We start from the raw sequence: 16839 nt of genomic DNA on the forward strand, positions 1-16839 counted from the left end.
GCTTTTCGAAGTTTCCTCTTGATGTATCTCGATATAGAGTTCTTTGGGGTTTTCCTAGTTTGGGGGTTTCACTCAGCTTCTTGATTGATTCTCTATCTTCCTGACTTTTGCCAAATTTGGAATGTTTTCAACCATTATTTCTTTGAATACCCTTTTAGTCCCACTCTCTTTCTTCTTTCCTTCTGGGACTCTAATGATATCACTGATGGATATTTTGTTATTGTCTCACAGGTCCCTGGGCCTCTGTTCTTTGCTATCTTTTCTTTTTATCCTTCTGTTTTCTCTCAGCTATTCAGATTGGGTGAATTCTATTTCTCTGTCTTTAAATTAACTGATTCTATCCTCTGTCATTTTCATTGTACTATAGAGAAAATCCAATTAGTTTTTATATTGGCTTTTGTATTTTTATTTCTGTAACGTCCATTTTTAATAACATTTTTCATGCTAAGGTTTTCTGTTTTTTTTATTTGTGTCAAGATCATTAGTAATTGCTTATTAAAGTATTTTTATAATGGTTGCTTAAAAATTTTTGTCAAAAATTTCAATATTTGATTCATCTCAGTATAGGCATCTTTTATTTTTTCTCATTCGGTTATGATTTTCCTGGTGTTTAGTATGACTAGTAAGTTTTTTTTATTATACGCTGAACATTTTGATTATGTTAAGAGACTCTGGATGCTAATTAGATTTATTCTAAGAAGCAGTTGCCCTGTTAAGGTATAACATGCTAGTCCTAGCTTTCAATTATGGGCTGTGGTTCTAATGAGAATTTAATTTTTAGGGACTTTGTGCTGCTATTTGGACAGGTTGATTTGTCTAATTCTACTGGGGGCCACACTGATCTCTTCTGGTCCACCGAAGGGAGAAGAGGAGATTCCTCAGGCTAAGCTGTAGTGGTCTAGGTGAGCTAAAAAATGCTCTAGCTCAGCGGTCCCCAACCTTTTTGGCACCAGGAACCAGTTTTGTGGAAGACAATTTTTCCATGGATGGTGGGCGGTATGTGTGGGGGATGGTTTTGGGATGAAATTGTTTGATCTCAAATCATCCGGCATTAGTTAGATTCTCATAAGGGGCACGCAACCTAGATGCCTCATATCCAGAGTTCACAATAGGGTTCACTCTCCTATAAGAAGTGCCCCTGCTGATCTGACAGGAGGCAGAGCTCAGGCAGTAATGTTGGCTGGCTCATGGCTCACCTCCTGCTGTGTGACCCAGTTCCTAACAGACTGCAAACTGGTACTGGCCCATGGCCTAGGGATTGGGGACCCCTGCTCTAGCTGACGAAAAGAGGATTACTTCCAGGGCTCTGTACTTTTGGTAGAGACATCCCCCCGCCCCCACCCCGCATATACCCTCCCGCCTCACCCTCCACACACACTGCTAGAGCTGCTTATCTGCTCAGAACCTCTAGATGGAGAGGGGAAGTCTTAGGCATCCTAGAAAAAGAGGTCACTTTCTCTGGCTGTTTGCTGTTAGTAAGGCTCCTACTTCATTCTCCTTGCAGGTAACCCAGTCTCTCCTGATATTGTTGGATGGATTCTCATTTGATCAGCAATAAAAATGAGTCTACCTAGACTACCTTCTGTTTCTAGTTTGTGGTTGGGAGAAGCTGGGTCTGGATCGTCTTTTACTGTTTGGGAAGCTACTGGGATTTTCCTCGGGTGCTGGTGTCTTTAACCAGTCCTCCTCACTCTTTCTACCTTTTAGAGTACTCTTTTAGTTGCTGCTTGCTTAATTCCCGATTCTACAGCTCTACTTAGTAGAGCACACAATGATAAACTTTTTAATGCTTTTGTTTTTCTCCCAAAATGAGTCAAGTGAAGCATAATTCAGCAAGATGCTAAAGTATCTTCTGTGAAACTGAGTGTCTTGTGATAGAAAAGGTGATTCAAACCAAAGACTGTATTAACATACAATACAGCAGTGGCACCAACCAATCAGAGCAAATTTAAAAGCCAGATAGTTTACAGGTGCCTTTCTGCTCAATATCAGCTCAAGTTGAAATAGTTCAAGTGCCTCTACTGCAGAGAGCTTGTAATAGGCCAATATTTTTGTTGTTGCCTTGGAAGTCCTGCAGCAGTCACAGTTTACCAAATTTATCTGTCCATAGAAGTGAACCCATTTTGTTTATAGCTTTTCTTGGCACTGGTATTCTATGAAACATTTGCAGAGGAAAGCTATGTTTATCAACATCAGTATCTACCTCATCTGAAGTATTGCATTAGATGTAATCATTTAATAAAAAAGTTATTTCTGAAAACATTAAGGAGCACCTAATTCTACTTTGATTTTTAAAAATCTGATAAAATATTTCAATATATTTAAACTTTCTTTTAAACTGTTCCAAGAAATAAGATTTGAATGTATGGCCAAAGAAAACATTTATTGTATTGTGTTGAAAATATATAGTCTAAAAATACTGACTGTTTCTGATGTCCTTATTTACATTTTCAATATTTTCTCTTTCCAGCTTTAAGGGACAATAGGATCGAGCTGGTTCGCGCTTCCTGGCATGAATTGAGTATTAGTGTCAGTGATGTGTCTCTCTCTGATGAAGGACAGTACACCTGTTCTTTATTTACAATGCCTGTCAAAACTTCCAAGGCATATCTCACCGTTCTGGGTAAGTGCAAGGGACTAACACCATGTAATCACAAAACCAGAATGATATATATTGCTACAGCAACATAATTCAATACAAAAATATATTTTGAAGATTATATGAATAGATATGGTTTAATCCTTTCTCTGCTACATTTTAACACAGGCGTTTTAAAATCATTTAGTCACTTTCAGCATTTTATAAAGGGACAAAGATAGATTCAAAGATGTATATGACTTCTAGAAGGCACATAGCTATTTTGTTTCTTAGCCAGCAATAGACACCGGTTCTCTTGATTTCAGCTAATTTCTTTTTTATCAAATAATCTATATGTTGTATATATTCTGATCCTTTTACGACATGACACAATAATGAGCATAATGAGTTCAACTTGTGTTCTATACTATGCTCCTTTATTTGATCATGTAAGTCACCTGATAAGGGCCTTTCTTGCTAACTTGTGGCTCTCAAATATGACCTGCTTGTGTATTTAGTGCATTTAAATGACCCTGATATTTCCATGTGTCTTCTCTCCTTTTGAAATTATATTTTCTAGATTCCTAAATGAAGTACCTAATGTCGCTTCAGCTTGCAGCTTGTAGTTTCTTTGTGCTTTTGTTCTCTAAATATTGGGCCATTTTCCCAAAGGTGAAAGTGACACAAAAAAAGCAATACATTCATAGAGATTCCGAGGAAATAAAGTTGCAGCTCTGAGCTCTCTGTGATTCCACAGACGTCAGTGCCCCAATCAGCTGAAATTGCTGCATTTCATTGAAACACACCTGCGTGCTGAACAAGTTAGAAGAATTTAAAGATTGATTTTTTTCCCCCAAGCTTGCTGCCCTCTTTAGATAGAAAAAGGCACAATGCTGCATTTAAAAGGACTAACACATGCTGTTCTTTTTGGTGGGAATATTAAAGTTAATCCAGCTAGTGAATTGGTTTTGTGCATAGGATATAAAACATTTCTCTGCAAGTGACACTGGGACTATTTTATAAAAATCTTCACAAGTTTGCCATTAAAGACAAAATATGCCCTCTAAAATGGAGTATTTCAGGATAACAACTGCATAAGGTTAATGTATTGTTCTGTAGAGAGCCAATTTGAAATCCAAAGAATAGATGACTGATGAATTCACTTTATTAAATGGTGATGAGGCATAGATTTTTTAAAAAGAAAGCAGGTAGTATGTAGGTGAAGACAAAAAATGTTAAGAGGAGTTATGTTAATTTTTCATGTATCTTTGTTGTTCCTGTTGTTTAATTTGTACTTCTCATATTGGTGCCTTCCAATATTCTTCTTCTTTTTTTTTTTTTTTTTAAAACGGAGTCTCACTCTGTAGCCTGGCTGGAGTGCAGTGGCGCCATCTCAGCTCACTGCAACCTCTGTCTCCCAAGTTCAAGCGATTCTCCTGCCTCAGCCTTCTGAGTAGCTGGGATTACAGGCACCTGCCACCACGCCTGGCTAATTTTTTTTTTTTTTTTGTATTTTTAGTAGAGACGGGGTTTCACCATGTTGGCCAAGATGGTCTCGATCACTTGACCTCGGCCTCCCAAAGTGTTGGGATTACAAGGGATGAGCCACCGTACCTGGCCATAAAATACAGAGATGATAATATTCTTTTTAAGCTTTAAGAACTATGAAATCAGGAAAGAAAGAAGCTAAAGTTAAATTATAATTTGTTAATGGATAAAGAAATATGTTTTGTGAGTTTTTTTTCTTTAATGCAATCTACCTTTTAAAATTTCTACACTAGTAAATTGTAAATTATATTAAATGATTGTTTTTAAGATTTACAAGAGTATTTTCACAGGTAAAATTTTACAAATGAGGCCAGGCACGGTGGCTCTTGCCTGTAATCCCAGCACTTTGGGAGGCCGAGGTAGGTGGATCACTTGAGGTCAGGAGTTTGAGACCAGCCCGGCCAACATGAGGAAACCCCATCTCTACTAAAAAATACAAAATTAGGCCAGGCACGGTGGCTCATGCCTGTAATCCCAGCACTTTGGGAGGCTGAAGTGGGCAGATCACGAGGTCAGGAGTTCGAGACCAGCCTGGCCAACATGGAGAACCACCCCCACCTCCCCGTATCTACTAAACGTACAAAAATTAGCCGGGCTTGGTGGCACCCACCTGTAATCCCAGCTACTCAGGAGGCTGAGGCAGGAGAATTGCTTGAACCTGGGAGGTGGAGGTTGCAGTGAACAGAGATTGCACCACTGCACTCCAGCCTGGGGTCAGAGCAAGACTCTATCTCAAAAAAAAAAAAAAAAAAAAAATTAGTCGGGCATGGTGGTGCACACCTGTAATCCCAGCTACTTGGGAGTCTGAAGCAGGAGAATCACTTGAACTTGGGAGGCAAAGGTTGCAGTGAGCCGAGATCGAGCCAGTCCACTCCATCCTGGGCGACAGAGCAAGATCCTGTCTCAAAAAAAAAAAAAAAAAAAATTACAATTTAATTTAAAAAACTACTTTGAGCTATATGCATCTTACATACTTTTTTGATACTATATATATTTATATATCTGTACACATATATATGTGTATGGATGTGTGTATATGTTTATGTGTATGCATATAGACATATACACCTAAGTATGTATAACACACACATATGAAGCAGTTTATTACATAGTAGTTTGTTCATCTTGATCGAACTTCTTGTCAATTAACCATCCAGTTCAGTTTCATGTGTGAAAGTAATAGACATAATAACAAATCAACCCTGAAGATTGATGCTCACTTCATCATTCGCTTAAATTTCAGGTGTTCCTGAAAAGCCTCAGATTAGTGGATTCTCATCACCAGTTATGGAGGGTGACTTGATGCAGCTGACTTGCAAAACATCTGGTAGTAAACCTGCAGCTGATATAAGATGGTTCAAAAATGACAAAGAGATTAAAGGTAAAGAATAGAAAAATGAAAATCAAAATTAATGTGCTGAAACCAGTATGACATGTTAAGAAAAAGGCATTTTACATTATTTTTCAAAACATAGTGTCTCTTACAGATTATGCATCATTTGAACCAGATTTACCCATTCTTAAGTAAGGTAATTTTACAAGATATATTAATATATAAGTATGATCCCTGTGGGCCTCATTTTCTTCTTCCGTAAAATAGGTTTAAAATAATATATGCCTTATAGAAAAGTTGAGGGAATAATTAAGTTAATATATGAAGAAACATATAGATTCATACTTCACAATAGTACATATTAGATACTATTATTTCAGACCTCATATATAATATTTTGGTTAAAGACAGAGAAACTGTATAAATTATTTCTTCAACTTAGTTTCGGGAATTATAGAGTTCTGAGAATAAAACTGGTTAAACATCAATAAATTTGATTCCTGTTAATTCTCACAAAAGGCAAAAATGTGTACTTGTCTAAGTAAAAGTGCATACTTTAAATTCTTTATACATCTAAATTTAAACTCCCTCTCTCTCTGTCACACACACACACTCAAACATACATTCTTTAGGAGGGGAATAAGTTTATAAGGGAGATGGCTTGGTATTTAAGTATAAGAATTGTTTATGATGATTATTAAAACATATTTCTTATGCCACTGTAATATGTATTATTTTCAACATTATCTTCTATGAAACAGGTTTATGCAAACCATTCTGCTTATTTTAAAATGTTATTTATCTATTTATTTTTAAGAGTTTTTAAGAGATAGGGTCTTGCTCTGTCACGCAGGCTGGAATGCAGTGATACGATCATAGCTCACTGTACCTCGCACTCCTAGGCTCCAGTGATTTTCCCGCCTCAGCCTCCTGAGTAGTTGGGAATACAGGCATGCACGACCATGCTTGGCTAACTTGTTTTATTTTTTGTAGAGATCGTGCTGTGTTGCCTAGGCTGGTCTCGAACTTCTGGGCTAAAGTGACCCTCCTGCCTCAGCCTCCTAAAGTGCTAGGATTGCAGGTGTGAGCCACCATGCTCAGACATTCTGATTATTTTAACCTATAATTGTGATACCTTATATCACACTAATTAATTCTTTGTAATGGGCATGCAGGCTTAGCAGATAAGATTGCCTATATTACTGAAAAATTATGATTATAATCCATGCAATTATTTTTATCAGTTTCCTGTTTTAATTACTCTTTCTCTGCATATTTTTCCCAAAAAAGGTCCTTATCCATAATTTTACCCTGATCACTACGCTTGCCTTAGTATTTCTAATAAATATACATTATTGGATTACATTTTGAGAAATACAAGTCCCAAGACACAAGTTAGACATCTTATTATGCTAAATTAAATTTCAGGTTACTGTGTAACCTGATTCTTGAATTCTGTCAAGGCTCAGTAACATCCATTCTAATTCTGCCTCTAGGATATGTTAGTCTAGGCATTTCTGGACTTGGTTAGATCTCTCTTTAATGGATGTTCCATAGTGCTTCCAGAGTTATCTTACTACAACAAGAATCTGATCCAGGCACTTTTCTGGCTTAAGCATTTCTAATGGAAAGCCCTAAACTTTAGAATAAGTTTAAAATCTGCTTTCTGTAGCCTGTAAGAATTCTCCAGGCAGTGAACTCTTACACGTCACATATTTCCTTTTGTGTGAAGGTCTTGGCTTACACTAAAATGCACTTCTTAGATACAATCCTTCAATGAATTACTTTATTACCTACATGTTTTTTCTTCCTAAATTCTGACACAATTAGTTAATTAATTAGTTGTTTACTCAGTTCTCACTTTCTTAGTATTTTATTTATGTTCCAAGGATTTGCCTCTTTTGTATCCTCAAGGAGGTCATACACTTTCACATATTAAGTACCTCATTAATATTGATTGATTGTTTTTCACATTGTAGCTGCATGACAAACCCATGATATACTCAGACATTTATAAAGGAAGTGAATTTTTGACAAAATTGGCCTCTGTTTTAAATGCCAAACAGATTTAATCATACATTGGGCAGGAGGGGAAAGATTTTTGCTCATATGAAGAAATATGAAAAGTTTAATCTTATAAACAACATAGTTTAAAATCATCTGAATCAAGATCAGAACAACAATGAAGACAGAAACAGGTACAGAATCAGAATATGGTTCTATGCAGTACTGAAAACTTGTGAAGATCCCATTTTTTCTATGCTCTTCAATGCACTGCCATTTACAGAGCATTTATCTCTACACTTGCATCTATCTATCTGTCTATCTATGTATCTATGTATCTATCTATCTAATCTTACAATTCTTTAGCATGTTTACATCGTTTGTCTCCCTAACCAGATGGTGAACTTTCTGAGTGGCATATATTTTATTTTTGTAAGTGTATATGTAAATACAGTTAGGTAAAGACTACGGCACAAAGTAAATATTCACTGTAGTTGCTGTTTCTGGATATGCTAAGCAAAATTTCACTCTTCCATCTTTTAGCAAACCCTCCTCATTTAAAGGGGTAATCCACCTTATCTGGCACTATTTTGTCTTTTTAGGGATAAAAGTTTGACTTCCTATTACTATCTAACTGTTTTTAGTATAATATCACTTGACACGTTTTAAAAAGACACTCCCTAGCATAAAATAAGGCAAACAGAAAAGACAGGCTAATCAAATTCAATTAAATTCAATTCAATAAGAAATTGTTAAAATGCCTCTCGATTTCACAGTATTCTATGGTGCATTAGTGAAGATGCAAATGAGAAACCAAGAAACTTGACCTGCAGCTGTTGAAGATGTCTTTGGGGTTATCAAACATGTTATGGAGAATATTTTCCTAAAAATAGAAACGTTTATACAAATCTTTATCTTTTCTCTATCACTACCTAACATATTAATTTTATATCCATGTTTCTGGGTAAAAGTCACTTGAAAGTGCTAGTTTATCACATTTTCTTGTCCAGAATATGTCCATACTTGGTTATAGAACAGTGGTTCTGAAGCTGTAGCCATTAAGCACAGGGCATCCTCAAGTACAGGGCTTGCTGAATCTCAGATTATCAGGCCTTGATCCAAGATTTTCTGGTGGAGCAGGCCCACGGGGGAGCCTGAAAATGTGCGTGTTTGCCATTGTGTTAAATGTGTGAATGATGTTGACGCTCCTGTTTCAGGATCACTTTGGTATGAAAAATATAAAATGAAGAGTATCAGTAAACTATACAGAAGTCCTGCCTCTGTCTCTGAGCTTTCTTTTTCTCCTTTGCTAAATAAGGACAATAATGGTTGCCTCAAAGTGCTTTTGCAAGAATTCTGTATAAAATGATATGTATGAAGTGTTTTCAGAGTACAAGGAATCACTGAATACATTTTAGATATTATTATCATTATCATTGTAATTTGTATTTTCAGGAAATCATGATGAGTTGTACCAATTCCTGAATTAGTCCTAGAAATATAAACAAATAAAACAAAAATATTCCACCCAAGCTTTCACAGTTGAGAAAGAGACATAAAAACATAAGACATAACAGGCACAGGTATATGAACTGGCTACAGTTTTGTGCAGAAGTAGCAGATATCAGCCCTACTTTGTGGGAGAGGTTAAGGCTCAACAGTTCATTGATGGAAGCAGGCACTCAGTAAAGATCTGTTTATTGAGTAAATGTGTCTTAAACAATGTATAAACCAAACAGTGACAGAAGCAAGTCTCAGTCGATCTAGAGGTTTATTTTGCCAAGATTGAGGACGTGCCCAAGAAAATAACACAAATCACAGAAGCATCTGTGGTCTGTGCCTTTTCCAAAAAGGGTTTGGAGGACTTCAATATTGAAAGGGGAAAGAGCAAGCAGGAGGGGAGTAAGAAGGAAAAAAAGGGGTTTAGGGGAAGGGTAGACAATGAGACAAGTGGTTACATTCTTGTGAGAGTTTGATTAGCTCTCAGTTCATCTGTATTTTACATGAGAAAGAGAGAGTAGGGGAAAGGTAAATTATGCACTTGTCTCTCACTCAGTCAATCTACATTTTACATAAGATAACCGTGTGAACAGATGAAGTGGAGGAAGGAGTCAATTATGCACTGGTCTCAGATAGGCAGAGGGATTATTTCTAGTCTTTCTTTGTCTCATACCTGTGAAGAAAAGCTGGTAATTTGCATTGTCATGGTTAGATTTTACAGAACTATGTTTTAGGGCTAGTTTATAGGGAAGGCATGTATTCTGATAGATTATCGGACCCAGAAGGAATTTCCTTGTCAGTAATTTTGGAGAGAGACCATTTGGGGAGATACATGGCCTTCTATTATTATAAGGCTGTGACATAGGTTTGTGAAATTGTAGCTATCAGTTCATGAAAAAAAAGAAAGACTTTTTTTTTTCTTTTTTTCATTACTGAGATCCCAAGCTTAACTTTCCCTTTGGCGCAGTGATTTTGGGATCCTGAGATTCCTATTTTCTTTCACAAAGGAGTAGAATTCATCATATGTGTTTGGGACAAAAGTAGGTGGTAGGACACTTTGAAGAAATGAATTTCATATATCTATGCAGAGTAACAGCATGTGATTGAAATAACTATGAAACTTTATGTGTGGTATAGGCATGAGAAGTAAACAGAGAGGCAGGGTTCAGTTATGTCATGAAAGAGCTTTTATTCCAGATTAAGGGTTTGAAATTTATTCTATAGGCAATAGTGAGACTTTTTTTTAATAAGCTTTCAAAAGTAAAATGAAACAATCATAATTTCATCCAACTCTGTTTTTTATCCCCTTTATGAGAGTTTTACTCAGAAATCCCTTTGGTGCCTCTGGGCAGAGCTGCATCCAAAACCACAGGTAGTTTCACTGCAGCCTTTAATCTTCTGCATAGCAAGAAAGTGAATATCTGCTACTTAGTGTGAGAAAAGATGTGCATTGCCTTCCTAAGTCTGTCAGCTCCCTAAGAGCTTACATTTACATTAAAGTTGTCATTCCATGTATAAGTTTAGTTCTGTGCAGTTTGAGGATTTGCTATTACAAAACCATGAGATCTTTTCTACCTAACTAGCTTTTACATTAATGCATTAGGCAGCATTCTATGATAATCCTTAATTATCCACACCCTTGTATAAACCCTTCCCCTAGCATGTAGGAGATAATTGTGAATATGATGTGATATGATTGCCTCGAATATGATACTTTATATTACAAAATGGGTTTTGCAGTTATCACTGTGGGCCCCTTTTGAGTTCATCAAAGGGTGATTATCAAGGATGGGCCTCATACAATGAGACGAGGTCTTTAAGAAGGGGTAGAGTCAGAGAGACATTATTTTCCTGGCCTAGAAGAAAACAAATAGCTATGCTGTGAATTGTTTACGGGTGCCATGTGGCAAAGAACTGTGGGTGACCTCTAGGAGCTGAAAGCAGTCCCAGGTGATAGCTAGTGAGAACATGGGGACATCAGACATATAGTCTCAAGGAAATTAATTTACTAACAATCAGAGAGCTTGAAGAGGACCCTAACTCAGATTGAAACTATAGCCCCAGCTAACATCTTTATTTAGCCAAGTGACACTGAGCAGAGGACAAGGCTTAGCCATACCTTGATTCCTCACTCACAGAAACCCTGAGATAATAAATATGTGTTGTTTTAAGCCATTAAACTTACAGTAATGTGTTACACAGCAGTATTAGGAAACTGAGATCTAGAGAGACAGAATATTTTTTCATGGTCACACATCTGGCAAAGACTAGCCTTGAATATTCTGATTCTAAGACCCAGCACTTGGGTTTGGGGAGAAGTCTGAAGACTAGCTTAGTACTTAAGAGGCATTGCAAGCAAGAGCTGGTAAGTACCTGAACTAATGGATGACAATGGAATTTTTTACAAAGAAATGGTTCTGAAAGAGAAGATAACTTTCAAGTGAACTTGGTGAATGATCTGGACAGATGGAGTAAAAGCAAGCATTAAGATTATAAAATTCAGGTGCCTAAATGACTTGGATAATGAATGTTTGCTCATTAAGAAAATGAGAGGCAGTAGGAGAAATTAATTCACACACAAATTATAATATGTTCATGATATGGTTGGCTATGTCCCCACCCAAATCTCATCTTGAATTCTAGCTCCCACAATCCCCGTATGTCATGGGAAGGACTTGGTGGGAGGTAATTGAATCATGGGGGTGTGTTTTTCCCATGCTGTTCCCATAATAGTGAATAAGTCTCATGAGATCTGATGGCTTTATAAAGGCAGTTCCCCTGCACACGCTCTCTTGCCTGCCACCATGTAAGATGTGCCTTTGCTCCTCCTTCACCTTCCTCCATGATAGTGAGGCCTCCCCAGCCATGTGGAATTGTGAGTCCATTAACCCTCTTTTTCTTTATAAATTACTCATCTCAGGTATGTCTTTATTAGCAGCATGAGACAGACTAATACACTAATGAGACACTGCTGTAAAGTTACCCAAAAATGTGGAGGCGACTCTGAAACTGGGTAACAGGCAGAAAGATAGGGACAGTTTGGAGGTATCAGAAGAAGACAGGAAAATGTGGGAAAATTTAGACTTGCCTACAGACTTGGAGGGCTCAGAAAGCAGGAAGATGTGGGAAACTTTGGCACTCCCTAGAGACTTCTTGAATGGCTTTGATCAAAATGCTGATAGTGATATGGACAACAAAGTTCAGCCTCAGGTGGTCTCAGAGGGAGATGAGAAACTTGTTGGGAAGTGGAGTAAAGGTCATCCTTGCCATGCAAAGAGATTGGTGGTATTTTGCCACTGCCATAGAGATCTTTGGAACAACTGAACTTCAGAGAGATAATTTAGAGTATATGGCAGAAGAAATTTCTGAGTGGTAAAACAGTAAAGAGAAAGCAGAGCATAAAAGTAGGGGAAATTTGCAGCCTACTGATGTAGTAGAAAAGAAAACCCCATTTTCTGGGGAAACGATTCCTTATTTAATAAATGGTGCTAGGAAAACTGGCTAGCCATATGTAGAAAGCTGAAACTGGATCCCTTCCCTACACCTTATACAAAAATTAATTCAAGATGGATTAAGGACTTAAATGTTAGACCTAAAACCATAAAAACCCTAGAAGAAAACCTAGGCAGTACCATTCTGGACATAGGCATGGGCAAGGGCTTCATGTCTAAAACACGAAAAGCAATGGCAACAAAAGCCAAAATTGACAAATGGGATCTAATTAAACTAAAGAGCTTCTGCACAGCAAAAGAAACTACCATCAGAGTGAACAGGCAACCCACAGAATGGAAGAAAATTTCTGCAATCTACTCACCTGACAAAGGGCTAATATCCAGAATCTACAATGAACTCAAACAAATTTACAAGAAAAAAACAAACAACCCCATCAAAAAGTGGGTGAAGGATATGAACAGACACTTCTCAAAAGAAGATATTTATGCAGCAAGAAGACACATGAAAAAATGCTCATCATCACTGGCCATCAGAGAAATGCAAATCAAAACCACAATGAGATACCATCTCACACCAGTTAGAATGGCGATCATTAAAAAGTCAGGAAACAACAGGTGCTAGAGAGGATGTGGAGAAATAGGAACACTTTTACACTGTTGGTGGGACTGTAAACGAATTCAACCGTTGTGGAAGTCAGTGTGGCGATTCCTCAGGGATCTAGAACTGGAAATACCATTTGAGCCCGCCATCCCATTACTGGGTATATACCCAAAGGATTATAAATCATGCTGCTATAAAGACACATGCACACGTATGTTTATTGCGGCACTATTCACGATAGCAAAGACTTGGAACCAAGCCAAATGTCCAACAATGATAGACTGGATTAAGAAAATGTGGCACATATACACCATAGAATACTATGCAGCCATAAAAAATGATGAGTTCATGTCCTTTGTAGGGACATGGATGAAGCTGGAAACCATCATTCTCAGCAAACTATTGCAATGACAAAAAACCAAACACCGCATGTTCTCACTCATATGTGGGAATTGAGCAATGAGAACACTTGGACACAGGAAGGGGAACATCCACACCGGGAACTGTTGTGGGGTAGGGGAAGTGGGGAGGGATAGCATTAGGAGATATACCTAATGTTAAATGACGAGTTAATGGGTGCAGCACACCAACATGGCACATGTATACATATGTAACTAACCTGCATGTTGTGCACATGTACCCTAAAACTTAAAGTATAAAAAAAAAACCCCATTTTCTGGGGAGAACTTCAAGTGGACTGCAAAAATGTGCATAAGTAATTAGGAGCCAAATGTTAATCACCAAGACAATGAGGAAAATGTCTCCAGGGCATGTCAGAGACCTTCAGGGCAACCCCTCTCATTACAGGCCCATTGTCCTAGAAGGGAAATAGGGTTTCCTGAGCCAGGTCCAGGGACTTCTTCTGTGTGCAGCCTCTGGACATGTTGCCTTGCACCCAGCTGCTTCAGCTCCAGCTGTGGCTAAAAGGGGCCAACTTACAGCTCAGGATGCTGCTTCAGAGGGTGCAAGTCCCAAGCCTTAGTGGCTTACATGCAGTGTTGAGCTTGTGGGTACAAAAACTCAAGAATTGAGATTCTGGAACCTCTGCCTAGATTTCAGAGGATGTATGGAAATGCCTGGATGTCAAAGCAGAAGTTTGCTGCAGGGGCAGGGCCCTCATGGAGAACTTCTGCTAGGGCAATGTGGAAGGATAATTGGGGTCATAACCCCCACAGAGAGTCCCGACTGAGGCACTGCCTAGTGGAGCTGTGAGAAGAGAGCCACTGTCCTTCAGACCTGAGAATGGTAGATCCACTGACAGCTTGAAGCCTGCACCTGGAATAGCTGCAGACACTCACGCCTGCTATGAATGCAGCTGGGAGGGGGGCTGTACCCTACATATCCATCTGGGTGCAGCTGCCTAAGGCCATGGAAGCCCACTTCTTGCATCAGTGTGACCTGGATGTGGGAGCCCACCTCTTGCATCAGTGCGACCTGAATGTGAGACATAGAGTCAAAGGAGATCATTTCAGAGCTTTAAGATTTGGCTGTCCTGCCAGATTGTGACAATGCACAGGGCCTGTAGATCCTTCATTTTGGCCAATTTCTCCCATTTGGAACAGGTGTATTTACCCAATAACTATACCCCCATTGTATCTAAGAAGTAACTAACTACATTTGATTTTACAGGCTCATAGGCAGAAGGGACTAGCCTTGTCTCAGATGAGACTTTAGGCTGTGGACTTTTGAGTTAATGCTGAAATGAGTTAAGACTTCAGGGGACTGTTGGGAAGGCATGATTGGTTTTGAGATGTGGGGGCAATCTGTGTCCCCATCCAAATCTTATCTTGAATTGTAGCTCCCATAATTCTCAGGTGTTATGGGAGGGACCCAGTGGGAGGTAAATGAATCGTGGGGGAAGTTTTTCCATGCTGTTCTTGTAATAGTAAATAAGTCTCATGAGATCTGATGGTTATATAAAGGGCAATTCCCCTGCACACTCTCTCTTGCCTGCTGCCATGGAAGACATGCCTTTGCTCCTCCTGTGCTTTCTGCCATGAGGCCTCCCCAGCCTTTGCTCCTCTTTTGCTTTCTGTGAGGCCTCCCCAGCCATATGGAACTGTGAGTCCATTAAACCTCTTTTTCTTTATAAATTACTCAGCCTTGGGGGTGTCTTTATTAGTAGTGTGAGAATGGACTAATACAGTTCATTCTTTAAAATGTTGAGGTTAAGGCTGGGCATGGTGGCTCATGCCTCTAATCCCAGCCCTTTGTGGGGCTGAGGCAGGAGGATCAATTGAACCCAAGACTTGGACATCAGCCTGGACAAAATAATGAGATCCTCTCTCTACAAAAAATTTAAAAATTAGCTGGGTGTGGTGGCACATTAGTCTTAGCTGCTTGGGAGGCTGAGGTTGGAAGATCATTTGAATCTGGAAGTTTGAGTTTGCAGAGAGCCATGATAGCACCACTGCATTCTAACCTGGGTGACATAGTAAGACCTCGTCTCAAATAAAAGAGAAAAAAGTTTGAGGTTGAAGTAATTATACAGAATTTAAAAGGTTATGCTTATAGTAGGTTTTTGAAGTTAAGTGACTTATAATGAGGAAAGAGATTTTGAATATATAAAGATCTGCCATTCGGTAATAAGAAATGTATAAGTTTTAGCCTTTTAAAATAGCCATTTCTCATGATGTGTACAGTATGCTTCAAACAAAACTTATCTCCACATGCGTTCCCTGCCCTGAGAATTATGCTGTGTACACCTGGTTAGGCACCAAAGCTGGACTCTGTAGTGGGTCACTGAAGTTTGCCAGGATCTAATGGTATTGCCATCATTCTATAAGCATTATTTACTTATTATATACCGTGTGTTTCAAAATGTTTGGCCATTAAGCTCGAATTGACATTAGCTATGTTTCCTTGTGTGAGTAGGTTCTTGCCATACATTTTAATGTCAATCAAAGATAATGCAGCTTCTAATTTTCAAGTTGGCAAAATATAGCATAATTTTACTGTAAGCTGCTTATATCGGCAGTTGGAGAAGAGTGAATTTCTGAATGCTGTGCTTCTCAAAAAGTGGCCTTTAGACCACTTAGATTAGAATCACCTCAGGTGGTAGTTTACAAAATGCAGATTCCTGGTTTTAAAGTAGACTTACTAAGTCAGAATTCCTGGTTGTCAGGCCTAAAAATTCCATTATTTCTCATGTATCTGTAATGTTCCTTATTATTAATAGAGTTTCAGAACCCGTGGGATTAGAGACTAATAAGCAAAGCATTAATAGGTATTTAGGAAAGAAAGGAAGGGGCTTCCTAAAGTAGTAAATTTAGAAAATGACTCTTAACATTCTTTCTACCTTATGAGTTCTTTCTTAGAGGAGGATTCTGTAATATGGAATCAGGATGTATGTTAGCATTATTAATGTTTCTGAGAATTACAACAATAATTGCTTTAACCTACATCTTTTTTTTTTTTTTTTTTTTTTTTTTTTTTTTTTTTTTTGAGACGGAGTCTCGCTCTGTCGCCCAGGCCGGACTGCGGACTGCAGTGGCGCAATCTCGGCTCACTGCAAGCTCCGCTTCCCGGGTTCACGCCATTCTCCTGCCTCAGCCTCCCGAGTAGCTGGGACTACAGGCGCCCGCCACCGCGCCCGGCTAATTTTTTGTATTTTTAGTAGAGACGGGGTTTCACCTTGTTAGCCAGGATGGTCTCGATCTCCTGACCTCATGATCCACCCGCCTCGGCCTCCCAAAGTGCTGGGATTACAGGCGTGAGCCACCGCGCCCGGCCTAACCTACATCTTAGTAATAGTCTCTGGCCATATAACTCGATTTTTTTATTTCTTTATTTCTTGCTTGCTTGTTTTACTTTTTTTTGGATT

The 16839-nt window shown here is 38.5% G+C and overlaps 1 protein-coding gene across 17 annotated transcripts in view; it reads left to right on the forward strand.

Annotated features, from left to right (window-relative positions):
- The window catches only part of CADM2 (cell adhesion molecule 2), a 1115441-nt gene that overhangs the window by 921832 nt on the left and 176770 nt on the right, over positions 1–16839 (forward strand). For 15 of the 17 annotated variants that reach the window (NM_001375961.1, NM_001375960.1, NM_001167675.2 and 12 more), the window contains 2 exons: positions 2471–2623; positions 5370–5507. The exons of 1 other annotated variant lie outside the window; for it this stretch is intronic. In NM_001375961.1, the coding sequence (NP_001362890.1) occupies positions 2471–2623; positions 5370–5507 (291 nt within the window). The remainder of the gene's footprint in view (positions 1–2470; positions 2624–5369; positions 5508–16839) is intronic. One more of the 17 variants, NM_001375964.1, reaches the window with a different exon arrangement.

This window comes from Homo sapiens, chromosome 3, assembly GCF_000001405.40.
Source record: "Homo sapiens chromosome 3, GRCh38.p14 Primary Assembly".
NCBI classification, from domain to species: domain Eukaryota; kingdom Metazoa; phylum Chordata; class Mammalia; order Primates; family Hominidae; genus Homo; species Homo sapiens.